This window comes from Homo sapiens, chromosome 6, assembly GCF_000001405.40.
Source record: "Homo sapiens chromosome 6, GRCh38.p14 Primary Assembly".
NCBI lineage: Eukaryota > Metazoa > Chordata > Mammalia > Primates > Hominidae > Homo > Homo sapiens.
In genome coordinates, this window is record NC_000006.12 from 47,856,078 (window position 1) to 47,879,948 (window position 23,871).

The 23,871-nt window shown below is 35.2% G+C and overlaps 1 protein-coding gene across 7 annotated transcripts in view; it reads right to left on the bottom strand.

Annotated features, from left to right (window-relative positions):
* Positions 1-595: 595 nt before the first annotated feature.
* PTCHD4 (patched domain containing 4) overlaps positions 596-23,871 on the bottom strand; it is a 254,525-nt gene continuing 231,249 nt past the window's right edge. For all 7 annotated transcript variants that reach the window (XM_011514639.3, NM_001384253.1, XM_047418830.1 and 4 more), the window contains one exon: positions 596-23,859. In XM_011514639.3, coding sequence (XP_011512941.1) covers positions 22,226-23,859 — 1,634 coding nt within the window. In that variant the 3' untranslated portion in view covers positions 596-22,225. The remainder of the gene's footprint in view (positions 23,860-23,871) is intronic.

A 23,871-nucleotide genomic window follows, 5' to 3' on the forward strand; every position in this document is an offset into this window, starting at 1 on the left:
GCTATTTCTGATAATATTTTCTTTTTTGGTTGTCATTTTTTAGGAAATTTGGCAAGGGCAGTGACATTGTATGTGATTTAGTGCTTGTCTTTTCCCCTGATTGTTCTTGTCATTATTTCCTAGGATATCAGGGTTTTGAGATTCAGAGATTATATTTTCAGTAATAATAATGTTTTTCATTTGGCATTTGAAATGGAATAATTAAGGCTTATGAGGCTCAGAGACTTGACAGCTCTTCCTGGAGGAAAGCTGATAATGTTTAGGACATCATGTTAGCGCTTTCTCTCAAATTGAAAGTAGACAGGAAAAGTGACTTTTAAGAAAGCATGATTAGGACCCCAGTATAATCAGCTAATTACATGAACTTCCTGGTTTTAACTTGTTCTAATGGTATTCAGATATGCATAAAGGCTTTTTCCACCACCGCATCACCCTACCTCAGGCCGATAGTGGGAATTGAAAATAGCCCCAGATCCAGGTGTGTTGGCTGCATACAATTTCATTTGCGTACCACATAGAGGAGGAGAGAAAACCTGGATTGCATTTTTGGCATTTTTACAGTATGCTTCCAAGGAAGGAAAGAGCCACACATTCATTTTCTTTGACAAAACTTTAATTAGAAAACCAGACTCCTCTGATTATAAAAATTACACAAGCTAATAAATCTTGGTAAGTTATAGAGAGAATAATTTTATGAACATTTTATACCTAATAAAAAAGTTAAAATAATTAACAGCATTCATCAGATTAATTTTGTTTTCACATGATTTTCTAATATAAAAAAGCATATAGTCATCAACCTTTATATAAATCCATATATGTTTGTAATAGCTTTTCATAATGGGAAGGGACAATATTCATATTTAAATAATGATATTAATAATTGGTAATGAATCAAAACTGCCAAAAGCTGAAGCATGACAACATTGATGATCAAGGTTGCTTAGGGAAATTGGAGCCTTCTGGACCCAGCCCAAATAATCTTTTAGAGAAAATTTAGACACAAGAAATCATATTATATAGTATTGTCCCACCTAACAAAAATTACTTATGATCAGTGTTGCTTTACATGTTTTCAGAATAATCACTGTTTCTTTCCTTTCAACAGTTTTGTCCCAAAGTGCTGCTAACTGTGTGCTGGTGTATTGTGCTGCCTATGGGAAATGGTGTTGGATCAGCAGAAAACTGGAAATCTTATTTGTTTCCCTCCAGACTAGTAAGAACAGATGCACATTGACGACACAAAGTTTCTGCGAATACGTAGTTTCATGTAGGGCATAACTTCTATCCTGTGATAGTACATCATTAAAAAGTATCTTGCTTCTTAAAACTTCTGCACTGCAGCAAGACGGTATCACACTGACTTCCTGATCATGTCCTTTTGGCAAGATAAAAAACTAACCCTTGGGTTCAAACAATAAATGAGGAGTCTGGGTAGTACATGAAGTAGTCACAGGTGATATCTACATTTCTTTATTGCATTCTGATTTTTTCAATATTGCATTGCAGTGCTAACTCAATTTCATACCACCGCAAAACTATGGTAAACCATAGTGTTTGAGTTAAAAGTGCTCCTGTGTCTCTGCAATAGTATCCAAAACTAAGAGCTGTAAATTAGTTAATAGACTACTTATTTTCATTTGGGGAACAGGAATGAAAACATTGTGAAGTAAATCATCTAGTAAAGATGACACTACATTGAGCACACAGGTATTAAACATACAAATGATTGGCATTAAACATTCTTTTTACAAGCTGGTACTTTAACATCTACCTCCCAAAGTTAATTTCATTATAATAATTTTTTAGCAAACTGTAACTATAAATAGTTCTATATCAAGGTACACATATGTACCTTGAAGACTAACAATAACATGTTTAAGGATGTCATTTGTTTCACATCTCAAACCCAAACCCCAAACACAAACATTTCTGAAACGTTTCAGTTGATTGAGCTTGTAAGCTAAAGAGTGGTAAAATTCCACCATCTATGGACATTTGAATTTGAGTGTTGTCCATGTACTTCCTTGTTGTACATTCCCTGGAAAGTGTTTGGTTAGAAATTATATAGCAAGTGAGAGCTCTGAATGAATACTCCAGCAATTATAGGAGAGGGAAGGTTTTCATAAACATACTTGATTTTATAGCAGGCACCCCCAATTTTGGATTCAGGGGCAGACATAAGAAGAAAATCTGATTTGAGTTTATCATATTCACCTTACTCCATTAATAAATTTCTTCTGTAGAACAAAGTAATGTGTATGAAAGACAATTAGATATATTCAGCTTACCTTAACTTCAAGATTCAAGTGGATAAAAATATAAGTAACAATCTCAGCTGAGAATGAGGCAGAAATGTAAACATTAATGGAAATAAAAGTTATCACATCTCCCAAACAACTATCATTTATGATACTTTCAGAAGACTTTGCACATGCTGAAACCTATGTGGTATAATTAATAAAGCATTTTTTACCACAGATAATGGAATGCTACTTGACCAACATAAATTATCAATTATTTTGGAGAGATTCTAATAAGGATAAACTAAGGCATAAAACAAAGAGCAATAAGAAATCTGAACACAAGTAACAAGGCTACACTGCACTAGCCATCTGAGTCAGAATTTCTGTGGGTGGAATAAATAATAAACCTGCTGATGTTAAGAAAACTAAAACAAGTTCCATACAAATGAAAATTTAGAAGGTGAGAAATTTCTATCAGAAAGGAAAACAATACAGCAAATGTCACATTTGTACAGAATATGCTTCCTATAATCCTTCTTGAATCTATGAATTTAAACTACCCCATTTCTCCTTAATTCTTTCAGCCATTAGAGAACCAGTTAATGATCTTACAGAACCTATGATTTAATTACAAGCATCTGTTTTTGAGACTAATCAATGAATCATTAATGTGAGCTTGGAAACAGCAGGTAGAAAACCAATAAATTATTCATTTTGAGGGAAGAAGGAAATGTTCCTGAGCATCAGATAATATATTTTATTCACGCTTATGTCAGGGTAACTTTGTGTATTTGTGTGCATACTCTTACAATTCCAGCTGAAAATGGCTTGGGGCAGTATCTTTTACTTCTTTAAGCCTGAGAAGCAGCAGGCTACCAATTGCTCCCATTTAAGGATGTGGCTGCCATGATAATCTTTCACTTGTTCAGCAGTATTTCTTTTTCTTTCCATTGACAAGCTAGGATACGAGCACAGTCCCTGCTCTGCCAAAGGAAACCATGTCTTTTGTTAAAGTTTAAGCTACTGATAAATATTTAAGGGAGTGCAGGGGTAGATGTTAATATTACCTAGCAAAGAATTCATGGGCAAACAACTTTCAAATGTATCAGTAAGTTTACCTTAAAATGACTTACTAGATAATGAGATACATCTAATATATTTGCAACTGAAACACTTGAAGCTTTCAAGGTCTACCTGAACTAATTTCTTCCCTCCCTCCCTCCTTTCCTTCCTTCCTTTGTCAAATATTTATTGAATGCCTAACATGTGCCTGGCACCCTTCAGGGTACTGGGCTTATAGCAGTTTACAGAGCAGAAAAATATCTCTGCCCCCTTAGAGCTTTCAATTTACTGGGGACAGACAGACAATAAACAAATCCCATGACAAATATGAAAGAAGGGAGGAGATTTACTATATTTTCATGAGATTGTCAGGAAAGGCCTCTCTAATGCATACTTATTTAATATTTAAGAAGAAACCAAAAAGATGTGAGGGAGGAAGATCTGTGGCTAACTGGGGGAAGAAGAGCATTCAGGGTGGTGGGAACTGCAATGACAAAAGACCAAAGGGGGTGCATGGTTGATGCAGAGAGAACAAAGGGGGCAGTGGCTGGAGAAGTGGTCAGAGCAGGAGACAGGGGAACAGACTGGGTGGGGCTTCCCCTCTTTCGTGAATCTCCCACCCAAGTTAATGTCTGTGAAGAGATGGTTCTTTTGTTTAGGCAGATAAAATGCCTTCTTCAAGGCCTATTTGAAGCTGCATTTCCTTCTTGAAGTATTCCCCTTTAATGCCAATAGTTCCCTATACCCAGATTCTCTTAACTCTAAAGTATGAATCATGCAATCATTTCTTGTGCTTTATTGTGAGTGACTATTTCTTCTGTCAGCATCTTTAAAGAGATTGCAAGCAATTTAAAGGTAGAAAACACATCATACTTTTTCTTCATCCCATATAGCACATGATGTTAAACTCAAGGTAATCAAGAAAGAAATGAAAGAAATATATAAAACTGTCAATTAAGAAAAGACAAAGAAATATATGACTCTAAAAACAAATTCAGGTATTTTGAGAATATAGCCATGAAAACAAAAACATTAAGGTAGAACTCAGTGGATAAGACACATGATCTGATTTTGTTTAGTAATCTACATCATTGCTTATCCCAACTTAGAGCTTATACCTATACATCTGTAGATCTCTTCTTCCTGTCCTACAGAAAATGTAATCCCTCATCCATGCAGCCTTCTTTCTTTCTTTACATTAGCACTACTGCCCATTCTTCACAATGTCTATCTTCCTTTATGATTTTTTTTCTCTGAACTCATATCTTCAATTTCCTAGAGTATTGTTACCTAGCAGGGTCAGGGCTATTAGTGGAGCAGAAATTATAAACATTTGAGAGACATAGGTAGAGGGTTAAAAACCCACTAGTCTACTAGTTTATTTCACTCATTGCTTGGGATTTATCTACTTAAGCAAAGCAATTAGGTTACAAATGAACTGGCGATAAAATACTTTCATAAAAATTATTTATCCTGAGATAAACTCTTTATGATTTTTAGACTTGAAATAATTTTATATACTTTTAAAAATCAGTTCTGTATCTAAGGTAGTATAGTCCAACTAAGAAACAGAGTTGATGTGCTCCATGCTGAGGTCGAATGAAGAAGATAGAAAGTGCCCCTGGATGCCTCTCTAATCATTATTTTAGTGGAACATTTCAATCGCAGTCTAATTATTGAGCTCTCCCAATCCCTCCAGTGCTAAATTTCAAACATGTTGGAACTTGGCGTGAAGAAGGGCAAGATTGTTTTTCTCCATCTGTAGATGAATTCTTCTTTTTACCTAAACTACTTAGTCCTGATTTTTCTTTAGGCCATCCTTCTAAATATGTCTTAGTCATTGCTGTGCTAAATAGAAGAGGTGGCAACAGGGTAGAAAACGACTCATTAACACTCCTTGCTGATGTTCTTTCATAAAACTATTTTTTAAAAAAATTTTATTTGTGTCTCAATTCTTGCCTGACTGTTTACTTACTAGTATTTATTTCTTTTGGGTAAAATTATGAGTTTGGGAACCTATTTACACTTACATTCACTAATTTGTTTAAGTGTATTAATTTCAAACAAAAAGATGTATACCCTCAAGGCTGTATCTGCTGTGTTTAATACACTAATCAATCATTAGGCATCCTTGCCTTCCTATCTTACCATTTTGTCCAAAACACATCTAGTACTCATTGACATTTATGTCCAACAAACAAAAAAATCAGTATAGCAACTTCTATTTATTATGGAAGACATGTTAACTAAGAATCTTGAACAATTTTTAGATTAATAGCAGGTTAATTAGGTTAATAGCAGGCAAATAAATAATAACTCTAGTTTTGCCAATGTCTCATAACAAATGTTTCAGTGAAAGCAAATAGTTACTTTCTTCTTTTTATGAGACATTAAAGTATTCCGCTGAGCAATTTGAACTGCTTTGTCCCTCACACAGGACTTTGTACATCACTTGGCACATTATAGGTTCTTAATCCATGTTTGTTGGATGGATTAATGAATGAATGATATGGCTAGTTCATCAGGTCATTTTATTTTCCTAGTTCCTAGGTAACTGTCCATATTTCCTGTTATCGAAAAAGTTCTTCCAATCAGTTATTCTCTTTGTCGACTTTTAGCTGTGACTTCCTATTATTGAACATAACCCAGTACTCTAAGTATTCGAATTTAATACAAAAAGAAAATCTATTGGAACATTTGGTAAGAGATATTTGACTTACATATTGTGTGTAACTCTGATTGGAGTTTCAGCACTTCTTTATTGTATAGGTATGACCAAGTTGGCCTTTAGGAGGCCTGATGGATTTTTAATGAATTATCGGTTTTGCCAATCATTACTTTTGTTGCATTATGGCTTTTTTTTTAATATCTTGGGTCTGGCGTATATCATAGTTTAGTAGCTGTGCTGTTGGGACCAAAGATCTACTTACAACCATTTTCAACACATACTAAATTTTTTTTGTAGGCTGCTTTCCCCCTTTTCCCTTCATTGAAGTTCTCCAAGAAATAACCTTCCTGAAGTCTTTTATTCAAGATCAAAATTTTTCAATTATTCTAGAATGCTATATCATTTTCAAAAGAATGAAAAATAAAATATCAACCTGTTTATTTATTTGGTTTCCTGGCCATTTGTCAATTTTTTTCTTCATATTTTACTATTTATGGTCTAGTTTAACTTGGTTTCCATTTGCTTACTTCTCATTCCCTGAAATTGTACTGGGACAGAAGGGAAAAATTAGTTCTGTGTTATTTTAATTGAAATTCATGCTGATGAATCATTTTTCCTTAAGTATTCTTTTCTTCTATTAGGTTATAAATTACTCAAATAGCTAGAAATCAGCAATATTGTTTAGAAAATAAGAACTGATTTCCACACAGACCCATTAATACTGTTTCCTTTGGAATTGTAATACTCATCTGCTCTTCAGTAACAAAGACAGGCTTCTCTAACATGACATTATCAATGTTTGCTTCCTGGAACACTAGTTCTTTAAGATGCTCCATGAACATAATGACCCATGGTCAATTATATCTGGGAAATCAAATACTGTCTTTATGCTACTGGAACATTAATTTCACACATTGAGGGTAATTCAAAGAATAGGCTTCATTTTGCCAGTGTTGAAGCCATTTTAATTTCAAGTAGCATTTCGTGATAATATAGGAACAAAAAGATCTTCAAATTCTCTGGGCATTCATTGTACTTAACTTTTTACTTAAGAGTTGGTATTTATCAATATGATTTTTGTGTTGTATCTGAGACTTATGTGGTCCCACATGCAGGGGCAGATCAAAATTTTGTTGAGCCTGAAGTGTATACATTTTTGGAGTCCCCTTTTAAGGAAAAGAATGCAAAAATATCATACATTTGAAAATTTTATATAAACATAAGATGTGAACATACTGCTAAGGACTGTCCTAGGGCCTCCAAAAGACTTATGTAAGCAATGGGCTCAGAAATTTAAGCTTCATTAGCTACATGCTACACTTGCATATCCCACATGAAAAATAGTACTTTACTATTATTTGGCCTAATAATATAATAGTGTTTCAGCCTCATTATTTCTGGTTCTTTTCTCCACCTGACACATACCCTACATTCTTAGGGTTGTGAGATTTAGCAAGTAAAAATGCAATATGCCCAGTTAAATTTGAATTTCAGAGAAACAAGTATTTTTAGTATAGTAGATTCCAAATATTGCATGAAACATACTTGTACTAAAAATTTCATTCACTGATTATTGGAAATTCAAACTTAACTCATGTCCTACATGAATCTAGTTCTAGTATAGAGTGCTAGTTCTAGTATACAGTGGTTCTAGTTAAACCAGTCTATAACAGGACTTCTCTGAAAATGACACATTCTTTTATACTCTACGCCTTGGTTCCATGTTCCTAAATTTTCTTCATGAAAAGACTGTCCAGAGCAACTTATTACAAATAGAGATTACTAAGGCCATCCCTTCAAGAGTTTAAAAAGTCTTCTAGATGAGTTCTACCAACAGGTAGACTTGTCAGATATGGCCTTAGTTCAGGTAATTTCTTTTCTTCAAACTGGAATGTCTTTGCACTCTTCAACTATGCAGCCTTTCAGGCCTAGTGGTGAGAAGCTGACCTTTGTCCTCACCTTCTTCCCTGGACAGATTTAATCCAACTATTCTCAGAATGTCTGTTGCTGTTCACAAACTTAGATTTCAGAGATTTTCAAAGTCCAAGTGTGGTTCCTCAGACTAGTAGCATTAGCATCACCTGAAAACTTGTTAGAAATGTAAATTTTCAGGCCTCACTCCAGATCTATTGAATCAGAACCTCTGGAGATGGGGATATGCAGGCTGTGCTTTGACAAGCCCTCCAGGTGATTTTGATACATGCTTAAGTGGGAGAATCGCTGCTCTATAAATGGAGCCCATTATTTTTGAGATATATATATACACACACACACACATATATATATATGGCTATTTCACCTACTAGTTTGCTTTGCTAAAATCCTTGATGGGTAGTGGCTGCCTCTCATTTCTCTTTGCATTTACTCTCTATGTGTCTGGCACATAGAAGATGTTTAAAATTCTTCTTGAATGAAAGATTTGGAGAATAAAGGGGTTAATAGATAATTACATTTTTTTTGAGTAAGCTACCTGGTGAAAGCCATGACCCAAAGGGCATCGCATAAAGCTACGTGGATGATCAAGCTGCTGTGTGGCCCCATTGCATGGCACTGTGGCTCCAAGTTCCAACTCTTTTACATTTTCTCAAGTTGTTATCTGCTTCCTCATCCTCACGTATTTTAGTTCTATGACTGTAGAAGAATACAAAGAGTTCATATGGATTATTTTCACAGGTCATTTTAATGCTAATGTTAAAACCATGTATGTGTGAAATATTTGACAGGACAATTATACCATAGGAAAAGTTTTGAATTAGAGACAGGCCATCCAATGAATGTGTAACTATGTGTAAGGATATGTTGTGAAAATTACATTTTACATATATATCCATCTTTGTCCAGTGCTGACATAACATTGCAATACTACATCTTTATGGTAGAATAAAAGCATGTGCCTTATACATAACTTTCATAGAAGATGACTGCAGAGCAGATCTCTGATTGTGGGAGGAACAGTGATCTTGTTTCTAAGCATAAATCACCTGAACTGCTAAATTCCCTGAAATGCAAATAAATCTCAAGAATTATTTGCTAATTAAATTGATGTTTATATATGTAGATTAATCTAGATACTATTGTAGTGTCTCTAGCTATAATACGTGCATGTAGATAAGAGTTATATATACCTGAGTATCCAGTAATTTTACATGGAAAAAAGTATAAAAGATTAGACTGCCTATTTATGTTCCTAAGATATTCGTTTCTTCCTCTTTGACTCATCTTTTATTTACTGAATTTAATTAATGCAATATAAACCATTTTTCCCCAAGTTAGATATGCAGAAAACCAAATCAACTGTTCTGTAAAGATAAAGCAATTTCCTGAAAATTTGTGGTAAAGCTTTACAAATGTTATAAAAATGGGCCACGCTGCATGTCAAAACCACAGGAATGTGAAGATTAAACTATACATTAGAGTATTGTAGTAAATAGATCACACAGAGCTAATAACTAGTTACTGTTATACCACATTAAATTCACTAATGTGAATATTGTTGTGTTTTAGACACTCAAAGTTCTTGGGTGTTCAGGCCATCTTACAGATATAAGTTTTGTGAATTGTATTTATTTCTTCCTTTTTATATTCAGTGCCACAACTCTATTTCAGGCCAATATTACCTTCATTGCTGATGACCACAACAGCCTCCTAACTTAATTCTTTGGTTCAGGTCTCTCATCTCCAGTCTAACCTACACTTAGAACATTGCAGATTAATACTTCTAAATTTTGAATCTAATAATAATAATAATAAAAAGTAATCTGAGTCCATCAAATCAAATATAAATTCTGCAGCATGATGTTTGCAGGTCCTTATATGAAACTTTCTGGTTTGTACAAATTCAACTCCTGTACTGGAAATGTACCCTCAAGCTAAATTGAGTTCGTTGACCCAGGAACATATTCTGTGCTTTTGTTGCATGTTATGGCTTTGCTCAGTCTGGTCCCGTCACATGGGGTGCTCAGGCCAATAATCTTACCTCATCTTAAGTGCTATCTTAATGCAACACACTCATACCAGGTTTGGCTCTACTAGAAATCATCTCTCTACCCTCTGGATATCTCCTTTTGGACTCTGTACAAGTTCTGGCTTATATTCTAGTTATAGATGTCACAGACGCTTTTGTCTTGTGACTTTTTAAAACTTCACTTAATAAAAGGCTCTATCAGTATTTATTGGATTAAATGTGTTGACTTGGTTGTCTAAGCCACTGTTTTTCAAATTGAGCCACACATTGAAATCACTATGGGAACTCCCAGAAGTACTGAGGTTGGGTCTCGCTATAGGATATATTGATTTAAGTAGTCTGGCATGAAGTCTGGGCATTGAGACTTTAAACATCTCTCTAGGTCATTCCAAAGTACAGCAAATTTTGAGAACCACTAGCTTTGTTACTCCTAGGGTTATCCAAAATGTCTCTTAGAGTGTGTTTGTTGACCATGGTCTCGTATGGCCACTTGGTTGTTGGATTTATCTCCATTCTACTTCTGTGAACAGATGTCCTCCTCGTGAACCAGTTGGAAAATGGGGCCTCCCCAGGCCAACTCCAACCTTATCTATAACTCTAAAAAGCATAATTAGGAAATGCTTTTTTCAGGTTTAAAGTTTAAAATATATTCCTCCAAACATCTTGTAATATGATTGCTGGTTTTGGGGAGCACCACTATTATAATTAAAACTTTAACTATTAAAAAGGACAAGGGTAATGTATAAATCAGTTAGGTTTATGCTTAAAAACTAAGTGCATATGTACCTTATGTGATCTTCAAAGAAAGCATCAGTGAATCATAAGGAAGTGAATTTAAAAAATAGTTTTAAGCATTTTAACAAACTCATTGTCTTAAAATTTACATTTAGAAAAGGATAGATGGGGAGAAAATCTATGCAGTTATTTTTCATCACATATAATTTACATTTGGACTTCTCTGTACATGCACCTTTCATACTGATTTATGATGAAAAGATGATATATTTTACCATAGGGACATAGTACTTGTTTACAATGTTTTCTTTCTGGGAACAATCTATAAATCAGGGACAATAATACCTATTCTATTAGGCAGGTATTATTTGAATTGTTAATTAAAATAATATTAACAGAGATAGTTAATTGGAGTGTATTAGTTTGAGCTGTTTGTTCTGGAGAGTTTGGGTTCCCAGCAATCCATGTCAGTCTCTTACTCTCACACTTTGAGGGCTTTTGTGCCAGAACGTGGACGGTGTTCCATCATCAGGAGAATCAAACTCATGCTCTAAACTGGCTCTTGCAACCACTACATTTCAAAGCAAGAGAGATTATAAATTTATGTGATATTGCTCAGTTTTGGGATCCTTGATTTTAACAGTTAAAATTCAAAAATAGAGACTGTGTATTTACATTTTGTAAACCATTCACTGCATTTAAGCCCAAGGATACATCATAAAAAGAGCTTTTTCTTTATGATCCCTCTCCAAAATCCAAGTAACTCCCCATATCCTGGCAATGCTTTATAATACCACTCACAATGGGCGCTTCCTTTTTATTCCCATCTGTAACAAGTCTCTTCTGGGTTGCTATCATCTCATCTGTTATAGCCTTCATCCTGGACAACCTGCTTTCCTGCCCTTGTATATTTCACTTTTTCTCCCTGACTGTTGAGCCCATCCTCCATCTCTATCTATTAGAATCTTACCCACACTTCAATGTGGATCAGTTCATAATTCCTTCCTTACTTTCCTTGAATACTCCAGCTGCAAATTTCCTCAACAGATCATGCATACCTCAAAGTCAGGAACTATGAATAGTTTAGTGGTATTTTCTTCTGAGCCTAGCACAGAGACCAATATAGGTGCTCCTAAATATGAGGTAAGTAAATAGGTACAATCACAAGCCATCTAGGGGTACTTCAGAAACCCATCTACATCAAATCTTGATCCTAAAATGGGACTGAATTTCTAGTTCTATCTTTTTAAAGAGTAACAAACTTTTTGGAGACTTAGATATGTCAGGGTTTTTCTGAAACTTTCCAATGTGTTCCTTTGTTTTTAAAGCCTAACTAAGCTAATGAACAGAAACTAAATAAAAAAAAGGTTTCAGTTCAGTTGTTTAGTCCCTTCTTCAACAGTTTTAGATCCGTTTTAAAATTTTTTCTCACTTTACCTTTTTTTTTAAAAAAACACCCTTGTCCTTAATTTTTCTTTATGTTGGATCACATTCTCCCTTATTTTACTATCAAGATGTGTATAGCTCTAGGTTGTAGCATTTCAACTTATAGGAAAGGACAGTTATTACCAACAAACTTGAAATTCTTCCTTTATATGGGGCCTTATTATTGTGTAACTGGCTATATAGGAAAATTCAAGAAAATGAAACAAAACAACAACAAAAGCTTCTGAATATGGGCTCTCAAAGATTGAAATTATTAAATAACCTCCTTTTCATTAGGTCATGAGCAGGCAACTGATAAGCTGGAGAAGTCTTTTATATTTTTCTTCACTGAATGGATAATTACTGAACGTCTGCAAAGCAGACATTGTGTGCTTCATAGTTTGGCATGTCAGTTGCCATTTTTAAAATAAAATCAGTGGAGAATTTCAACTTGAAGCACATATAAATGACAATAAATAGTACTTTTGCAAACTTTATTTAGTATTTGCAAATAGGTTCCAAATGTCCAGCTTAATTTTTCTGAGTTCTTATTTCATTCCTTTCTAGCCATGCTTATTTTTATGTAAAGGAGAAAACATGCTTAATTACTCTAAAGAAAAGTTATTTTAGAAATGATAAAAGTTGAACATATTTAAAGGAAAAAAGCAGAATAAAATTAATAATTAAAATACTAAATTTGGACAGGAAAATGGCTATTGAATAAGTCCAAACATTTCCAGGAAAGACATAAAGGCATCCTTGTTTTTAAGAAAACATACGGCAAACTATATAAAATGAAATATTACTAAGACTTCTTTGGTCTCCTCATCATACGTCAATAATGAGGAGAGCTTTGCAATGATAAAGCTTTTGAAGTGGCTTGTGGAATATTAAATTGTTTAAGTATAATTTTGGCATCAAGTGACCTTACATATTTTGAATGTTGGTTATCTATGCGTTATGTATAATGCCACCACATTATTCATCAAAATACAGTGGACTTGGATATTGAAATATTTAACATGATTGGTTTTAGTGACTTAGAAGTGGTGCTGATAGCCCCTGAACAATTATGCCCCAGCTTGAAACTGTATAGCGTGCAGCCAAAGGGATGTGCTTTGTGATTAATCTCTGGGTACTACTGAGGAGCCGCTGGCTCACTCATTGTCTCCATCTTCTGCAGCTCTCATATGGTGAGAAAAATGTTGGTTCAAGTATTTTTATAGTTAATATTACTACAATAATGCAATGTAATGCAGTGATAAATTTTAGGTAGAATTTATTTGACCCGATTATAAATTGCTGTAGATTTGAAGGTAACATAATTATTAAGGGGTGTTAAAGTGCTATCTGAATCTTTTAGTAATGCTTTAGTAATTTATGTGTTTTAGAGACATTTGTGAACTTAGGGATTCATAAAAATATCTCTCAGGAATGCCAAGACATTTTGTATTTGCTTCAGAATGCTTTATCTTAACCACGGAGAGATAATTGATATATATCATCACAGTATTATTTTAATGTATGTATTCTTGAATGTTTAAAGGATAAAAAATTACATTATAAGTTTTAGAACTTGTGATTCAATAAAATACTAAAAAAACATAGATTATGTTATTTTACATTGTGATGTTATAAGATGTTTTGTTTAGGAAGTTTAATTCTTAGCCTAGAATTAAAAGGTAGCATGCTCGAAGTTCTCACTGAGGTTAGAGGAATAAGTTGCATATTATAATATTCTGTGGGGCATTTAATACTAACAATAAAGAATGAAGAAAAATCTGGCGAATTTAAGAATAACCTAGCTTTTACAGCATTTGTGATTGTGATTTTAAAAGACCTCATATTTGACCCTAAGAACTATAGAATATACACCTGTATAATTTATCACTACTTTAATATATAAATTATTTCTATTATTATGACTAATGGAACTAGATTTCTTTTGTTGTTAAAATAAAAAGTTGAGATAGCCAGAAATGCTGTTTAACTTTGCCTAGTGGCACTGTAGTAAATATGATTTTGATGACTTTTTTTTCCAAGTAGCTAAGATTTAATTGTTATTTTTCTTAAGATTTGTACCTGTAAGCTTTAGATAATAGATTTGTCATGCAGATAAATTATGAGCAATTTAACTAAAATTATTGTATTTCAGTGTGTCCAAAACATGAAAATAATGATGAACCGAACAAGGAAATATTTGGAACATAATTTCCCTTGACTGAGGTATGAGATTCATTTAATTATTAAATGTGTGTTTACACATGCAAATCTATGGGAAATAATTTGTTCTTTATTTGTTTCTATTATAGTTAAGAAAAACCTGTTTTGCAAAATGTTTTTTCACTGATCAACATAGAGGTAAATTTTGATAATGGACCAAATTCAGGTGAATTGGAAACTTTGGAAACTTTGGAAGGACTTTTGGTTTGGGTTCTTAGTAAGATCAAAAATAGGTACTTTTAGAATATTTTCTTCTTTGTGAGATCTAAAATGGCTACACAGCAGTCTTCTATTTCACAGGAGATATTTTTGGATGGAAATACAACTTGGGTAATGTTTTTTTGATTTGACATTTTTGTTCACAATTCGTTTTTAAGCTTTCCTCAGTAAGGTAGCTTTAGTTGTAGAGCCCAAGGTACAGAACTACAGAGCAGAAACCTAAAATGGCTTTGTTTGTACTATTTTGGGAGTGATAAATGAGGCTGTTTTCATGAATGGGATGAACCTATATGTAATAGAGTATTTTAGAAGGAATATTGTTATGGGTAAAGACATCTGGAATTGATGGTTTGCCATGAGGTTTGTAGTGTTAATACATCAAAGTTTCATAATTTCATACATTTAGTCACCCTTCTTTGCTGTAGAAACTGGTATTTTGTCTAGCTAGGATTAAGAACAAGTGGGTTTTGTTTTAGGAAAGAAAATAAAAATGCTCAACTTTTACTCTCATTTCTACAATTTGTCTATGCATGGGTGAAGACTGTTTCTCCCTAGGAGTTTTCTTTTCACTGATGCTAATGTTTCCGTAAGTGACTTGTGTTTTAAAAACCCCGATTTAGCAGAAAATAATAGCAATGCCTTCCAGAGGAAAAGAAAACTTAAGTAAAATGCCAAATAATGGTAACTTTGTCTCTTTCTATTTGCCTAGAATAAACAAACAAACACCCGAACAGATTTTTTCCTCCAAGAAAAGTGATAAGTGAAATGCACTTGGAATTTTTCTGAAGTTATTCACAGATTATTTGTGCATCTTACTGGGTAGACTGCTGCCTCTAATCAAAGTCAGATTACTCTCTTTCTGAGTCAATTTTTGAGCTCTGGGATATCTGTAGGGAGACAACTAACAACTGCCTTGAAAGATTTCATATTAATGAATATTATGTTAACCAGAATGTATAAGTGGGACTGCATATAGGAGTGCTCATTTTACATTTTGCCTTGTCTAATTTGATAAAGTGAATGAGCATCAAGGAAAGGTGATAAATAATATTGCTTTGTGGCTTTAATATATTGCCATTTAATCAAAGATTGCATGCCATTTTGTCTTTAAATACCCTTATGAGGTAGCTTGGAGAGATCTCTGCCCTTTTCAATCTGTGACAGATTTCCTAGTTCAGAGCAAAAAAGTCTACTGCTGAAAAATATGCATAATTAACAGGAAAGTATAATAAAGTTGTTGCTTAAACTACTAAAACTTTGGGATATTTGCATTGACTAGTTTAAGGTCTAGTTTATCAGTTTGTAGCACATTTATGTTTGTGAAGAAAAGATGCCAGAATTCCCTTATTCTACTTGAAAATAGATGCTACAGACTGTACCAGGAGATGCAAGAATATGACGGCTTATTCTTTTTTTTTTTTCCCCAGCTCTATCAGTGTTGCTACCAACAACCAGTGAATTCATCAGATAAAATGATAGAAGGTGTTTCCGTGTCCAGGGAGAGATTCTAGTAACCATATTACATTAGATAATTTAAATGCTCCCCATAACATACTGTAGACTGCCGCTACTGAGAATATAAGTTAAATTTATATAGCACTGAAAAGTTATACATTTTTATTAAACACCAGTAATCTTTCGTCCATGAGAGTGTTTCCTAGTTATTCCTAGGAAATTCTTCAATGCAGTCTTCCAAAGCATTAGAATTTTTTTCCCCCTCTGGTTTGACAGAGCCTTGTGGGCAATGTGCTTACTCTACAAACTGTGGCAACAGAGGGAAAGAAAACCGTAATGCTCCTCTATTAGACCATGCCATTAGCTGTTGGGAAACCAGAGCTCAGCTACAAATGGCTTCTAAAAACCTCAGCTCAGATAAGTGCAATGAAATCATACACAGCAGGAATCACACACCATCAGTGGTGATTCCTACTCTGTTCCTAAAGTTTCTTTCTGATTTTTAAGATTTTATAATTACCATGACCTGTGAGACCTTTCTTAAGGGAAATTTTCAACTGGGGAAAAATAGTAGAAGCTGGCTTTCTATAATTTAAGATAGTGCAAAATCAGTGATAGTTTCCTTTATAAATACTTTATTATATTAAAAATATCTACCTTATAGAGGTTTTCAGTTTAAGGTACACTCCCATTTAATTTTTACATCTTTAGAGATGCAGAAGACATAAAATGTGATTTGTAGACTAGGAAGTTATACTATAAATATATTCTTAACCCTATATATTGCTCTTTTGAGTTGTTTTCCGTTTTATAAGAAAAGCAAGTGGCTTCTCTATCAGCAATAGAGAGTCCTCATTAAGTATGAAAAAAACTGATTAGAAAAAGTGTTCATTATGACTCAAAGACTCACAAAATATAGTCAATGAGAGCCACTCTGGGAATGAATGATGCTTATGTCGGTGCTTACTTTAAGCTTCTTTACAAAGAGTCTCCCTAGCTTTTCACTTTCACTAACAAAAGGGTCTACGGCTCTTCCTTTGTGCTTGGAAATTCAGGAGCACCTCCCACTGCAAAGATTAGGTTATGAATCTAACAAATGAGAACCCAGTCTTCAAGTGCAATGTATTTGCCTATGATCAAGTTTGCTAGCAGTTGAGAATCTATAGTTTTGCAACACCACGTGATTCTCTCTGCTGTATTCTAAATCACAGAATATGTGGTATTATTCCACTTGTTCTATCACACCTACTTACAGACATCTTGATTTCTGAGATGTGGGCTCATCTCTCAATATCCTTCCAGTGTCATTTCAAATGTTGCCTGATCTAACTCCACAACACTTCAAACACAGAACACCACCTCTTGTGCTCCTAAGTTAAACGTGATGGTGGATTAATCTTGGTCCTTTAGTTGATAAATCAAGGTAATTTACTGCTGCTATACCCATACACAGTCCCTCCCCTGCTGGATCTCATGCAGTGTGGCTTTGTTGCTTTCACTTATGATTTTGCTGCTTTCATTTGGGTCAATATCATTGTAGTTATTTTGTAGACAAAGTAGTAAAAAACTTGATTTTTCCCTATCCTATATATCTGCAGCTCACTGATTTAAAATATTAGCATAAAGGTCCGCACCACAGTGATGATGTTCAATTTCATATTGAGATTGAAGATGGGGAAATAGCAAGGGCATACCAATTCAGCCATAAATATGTTTTGGGTCAATGTCATAAAATTGTCACAAAATTTTGGTAATTGAGAAAAAGCTAAAACTTTTTTTGTTTGTTTTTTGTTTGTAAAGGGAAGAAAAGTGCTTCTGAGGCTCTTTTGGAATAAGTAACAGTTTTCAGATTCACTTTTGCAAAGATTGCCAATATCCTTCGCAGACACCAACAAACCAGACTGAACAGAAAGATCCCTGTAGTAGGATGCCGAGCAAATCATTGACTTCTCCAATCTCTAAGAGACAATATCTAAATGTCAGTCTCATGGCATTGTATTTTCTGCTTCACCATAAGATTAGCAAACACAAGACATAAAATTATGTTTATTTACTAACCAATACAGAATATACTAGGCCCTTTGCCTGGAAGCCAGATTTCACTTCTGAGATTTTCCGAAGTCCATTCTAGAAGAGGTGGTTGTTACTGATACCCAGGGAAGGCAATTCTTAAATTGCTTACCTGGGGATGGAACTTTCTGTGGACTTTAGGCCCTTAAGACCAAAAGCCATGAGGCATTTATGAATAGGTGATGTAAGAAATTTTAATAAAAGTTGCAATAACCCTGAAAATAGTGTCTTTAATAACCTATGTACTATTAATAACAAAGCATGCATAGTGCCGTGCATTCATAACTATTTGGTCATAAAAATATGTGACTGTAATTATGATATTTACAGTCAACTTATAAAAATACATGTAATTCTGAATGGCAATAGTTAATCCTTAGCTCTAACCACAAGCCTAGAAGGATTAGCTTATTACGGGGAAATGTGATAGATAATTACAAAATGGACAAAGCTTTTACTGTCTTGAATTTAACATTCAAGAATAACTATAATAGCATCATAAAACATTTGTCATCATTATTCTTCTCACCTCACAAGGTAAAAACCTAAATTCTGTGGAAATAAATGGGAATCAAATAGGAAAGGGCCACTTACATGATACAACAACAGAGGAGAATAGTTCTTTCATAGAATACTCATGCACAGCCTTCAAAGAGGTTCATAGTAACTGCAAGAATTCCTGGGAAGACATCTAAACATGACTTTCATTAAAAAGAATTAAGGCTGGTCTAAAGAATCAAATCTCTAAGGTATGATTACCTTTAACCATAAACGGTAAAAAATCTTTTAGCTGATCTCTCTGTAATTTAGGTGAGTACCTCTTTGAAGTTTATTAACATCAAAGAGAGTGGAGCTCACATGGCACTTTCCAATTCAAATTTAAATTCTGATGGAAGGAAATAAATCCACATTCCAGTTTACATACAGAAAAAGAGTAGTTTTTTCAAACTTTATAACCTCTTACTTTAAGGGCATATATGTTTCAATTAAATAAAATATTACACAAAGCTAACATATTTCCCACAAATTTCTTCTCTTCTAGGAGTTGATTGGTCATCTGCTGACAACAGATAAGTTCCTAATTTGAATGGCATTAGTACTTCATAAATGAACAAAACAATGAGTGCAAACTGGAAAAACTAGGGAGAGGTGCATACAAGCTACCAAAAAAGGTTGGGATTGGGGGTGACCTGCAAGTCATGATCTCATATCTTAGGATGTATCTTAGTATTCAGGAAATGGAATTCTTGGAAACATCTGTTTCACAGTGAGGTTGGGAGGTCAGACGATGCTCTGTTAGATTCTTCTTAGGATTAAATTACTTCCTAGGACTGCATTAAGACACTTTAGGTGGTATATTAACTCTTCCAGAACAAATAATTCCATTTCAGTAAATTATTGCTACAGTTCTCTAAAGAGTACTACGGTGTCCTGGAAAAGATAATGTTCCTTCCAAAATGCCCTCTAGTCACTCGAACAATGAGAAATTCATATTTATCTTAGACACTTTGATCCTTGAAGACATAAACTAAAAAAGAACTGTTTTTCCCTATCTAAACAGAGACTATCTGGATGGAGACATAATATTAGATCTGCCCTGGTCATTTGGCAGTGTATACCATTTCCTCCATGTGCTTTTGACAACTGGCATGCTTGATTCTTTCCCTGTAAATCAGCCTGCCATTCTTCTTTGCATGCAGAATGGTCTATAGGAACCAAGAAAAAACCAACCCCAATAGCCAATCTTTTAAAAAATAGGTGAATGAGTGGAGCATGGCACACAATGGGAAGAAAAGGAGTGATAGTTAATTAACTTTCTCAGTGATTATCTCCCATATTTTGATATGGGAGATAAAAATCTTCCATATCAAATCTTTACAAATGATGGGTAATCTGTAAGAGGAATTCTCCTCCTCCCTGCACCCCCACTACAAAACTCCCACCCAAACAAAAAATCAAAACCCAACCAAAAACCTCCTCTGAAACTTCTACTTCAGATATGAGATCATGGTCTGGAGGCTACTCGTACCAAATACCAGTTCATTCTAGTACAGCAGTTCATGAGGCAAAAGGCTAGGAGTATTTGTGACATGACTTTACAAATAATGTAAAAACAATAACCCTATGATTATGGGCAATAATTTTCCCCACTCAAATCTATAGATATTGCACTGAAACTGACACAATGGAGAAGACATAGATCATTTCCTGTTGAAACCCAATTACCTCAAGGTAAAACAAAACAAACTCCATTTAATAAATGAAATATTACTTAAATGTTTTCATTTTAGGGTCTGTTCCCTTTCCCCTTTATATTCTGGAAAGTTATATGTCTAAGTATACTTGTTTTGTTACTTCATTAGTCTATCAACTTCATTTCCAGAGACTATAACGAGAATGGAATGGTTTGTACCTTTTTTCTGAACATAATTGAGTCAAGGAGTTTTGTTATTTTAGGTATTATTAATTTGATTAAAACATAGAACCAAAGTTGATGGGAAGTAGTAGCTTTCTTCTAGGTAAAAGAGCTTACTAGCAGATTTTATAATCATCGGACATTTATTCTGTCCTACCTGGAAATAAATTATGTTACTGCTTGGCATGGGAAAAGGCATTTTCTAGTAATTTCCTGTGACAGGAGGCACAGCAATAGTCCAAGTAAGCACCCAACAGGTGCTTGGGAGTAGTTTTAAACTTTAACTTAATGAAAACATTTACCTCAGTACTTTTGTTTGAGAAAGAATTCAGCAGCAGTTATAGTTAATATCCCACCTGTGGAGAGCTGCGATCACCCTAGGAGGTGGGCCAACCGAGGAGCACTTTCCAGGTAACAAGAGCAACACTATTGTGAGAAGCTACAAATGGTACTGCAGTAGGTGTAGTGAACACTACTATAGTGATCATGGCCTGGGTTATGTTCCAAATACTAATGCAAGGAATACACTAGAGTTTATAGGATTAGAATAGTTTCCTTATGCTAAGAACTAGTAGATGGCATGTGATGAGTGGGTATGGTCCATTTTATTCTATTTCACTCTACGAGTTTCCTAGTTATGTCTCCTTTCTCCTATGTTAATTATCTATATTCCATGACAGTTATTTTCCCTATCTAAAATAAGAACGGTGTAACTATGGAGTACCCCAACTCACATACACATACTTGTGCACCCTTAGACTCATGTATGGATAATCTGTGTAAAGCGCTCATTTGCAATTGGGTGAGCTCACTGAAAGCAGCCATATCAGTCTTCCAAATACAGTAAAAGCCAACGAAAATCCATATCAACTGTTTATTTCTAATATGAAACAGTAAACCTTGTCCATGTGGTAATTAATTCAAATGCCTTTTGTGTTTTCTTGTGAAGTCATCCAAAGCAAAAGTCTAGATGACTGCTGACATGATATGCATAATCTAATGAACTCACATCTCTGTTTATTTTGCTCATCCCACAGTTGAATGACACACTGACTGCTGAGACACTTGGGTTGATTTAGAACGGCTATTAATGAATCTATAAATTTGGCTAAGGTTGATTTGACTTTCTAGGGAAAAGCCAGCCTATCTTCAAATGGACAGCTCCCTCCACATAAACGTCAATGTACCCTAAAGACAAAACTAAGTATATGTATATACGGGATATATACATATATATGTACACATAAAATGGATTGGGAAGTCCTTTGGTTTAGACAGTATTAAATATGTACTTCCCAAGTGCATAGGTTTCCTTTGACCAACCTGTTCAAAAAACAAGCATGAAAAGTGCCATGGCACATTTCCCATGTCTTTCCCCCTATTTGAAGGACACCTTTCCTTGCTTCTCCATCACTCCTAAGCATTTTATTTTTAAAAGAAGCTGGTTATTTTGGCCTTCTATCTTAACACTCCATTGATTCATCCATTCCTTGGAAGAGCTCTCAGATTACATCCAGAAACTTGTTTTTAGAGGAGAACAAGGTTGCAAATAACTTTTTCCTCTTTTTTTATTCCCTCTTCCCCCCAAGAAGCAGGCACCTTGAAGTGTCATGAATAATGCACTCTTGATCTGACTTGCCTTGTTACCCCTGGCCAGCCCAAGCAGCTGAGGTCTGAGCTTTACTTGCCCTGCATCATTGTGCAATACTGGAAAAGAAAAATAATCCACTGGTCTATACCCCTCATACTGTGGTGACGTGATCCGGGTTCTCTTGAATTTCTATGCATTCAATTTCCTCTCTCTCCTTTCGCTTGGCACGTTTCTTTTTCTTGTGGTGCTTTTTGGAAGGGGGGAAAAACGTTAGGAACACAGGTAAAATAACAAAACAGTGCAGAAGTGTGCAACCCCCAGTGAGCAGCAAGCATTTGAACAGTGTGAAGGTCAGGTTCGAAGGCACAAATAGAAGGGGGACTAACCCAATAAGAAAAGAAGTAACATTTTGCAAAATGGCTGTCCCATGGTCTTGCAAGGAGCTTTTTATACATTGTGTTCGGGTGTGCTCAGTTGCTAATACAAATGTGAAAAGCAGTGGTGCACAGTGGTCAATGGCGAAATTCAAGGTGTAGATAAGGCACAAGATAGAAATGCAATCCATGTCGACGTTCCATAATGTCATTAAGCCCAGAACGCCCAGCTCAATTGAGGTGACGCTAAGAATTAGCCAGAAGTTTCCCAGAGGGTGGATCACTAGGAAAAAAGTCAGGATTAACACCAGGAGAACACCAAAGCCTGCAATCAGAACAGGCACTGTGACAGACAAGCTGTAATGGTCCATGAAGACAAAGGAGGGGTTGAACACGATGAATCGGATGCTCTTTGAGAGGGATAGGGGCCTCAGCTTTTCCAACACTTCTGTGATTTCTTTCTGCTTGTCTCTGCTAGTCCTGGCCACCAGATACAAGCGAGAAGCAATGATATTGCTTTCATCCCCTGCCTTGGAGAAGATGATATCATTTCGAAAATGCTGGAATTCTGGCTTTTTTAAAAATGAGCTTTGCAGGACACTGATGAAGTCACTTTTGTTATTGGCACTGACGTTGCTGACTTTCAGGAACTGGTAGTACTGCTCCACCCAGGACACTGCAGTGAATCCACTACAGAGTCTTCTTAGGTCATCCTGGACGCTGCTGTTCCAGTACTCTAGGGGCTCATAGACGTAGAATCCTATCACAGGGCTATAGTTGCTGAAATATTTCTGCTGAACCATGGCATAGGAAACACTTGGCGAATCACTGGCTAGTAGATTGATGATGTTGGCTCCGTCACTGATCTGTAAGCACCCCATGAAGGAGAAGGAGGCATAAATGAGATAGAGGATGACAACAAATGGCTTCACATATATATTGGTAATCCATTCATTATAATGTTCACGGAGGAAGTGCTGAATGAAGTGGTGCTGGTAGGGGTTCGTCTCATGATGGGACGTCTGTTGATGCCCATCACTCATCACTGTCTGGAACCACACAGGTTTGCGATCCAGGTATTCTGCAGAAGGGATCTTACAGCAAAAGATGCTGTGGTAGCGGTTTTGCTCTAGTTGGCCAGCAAAGACCAGACAGGAGCCAAAGAAGGAGAAAATGTAGAAGTAGTTCAACAGAATAGAGACACACATGTTTTGACAGAAGACCTTCACAGCCTCTATGTTTGTGAATGGGCTGGCACCCATGCCAAAAGTGATGAAGTACAGGGAGCTGGTCATGGTATAGGTGACCATCACATCAGAATAGGCATCTGCTATCCTGTCTTTGAAGGGCAAGTTCTCTTTGGTTCTCCGCCATCCGGACAGAAGCTCAAACACTCCTTTAGTTCCATGACCTAATGTTTTAA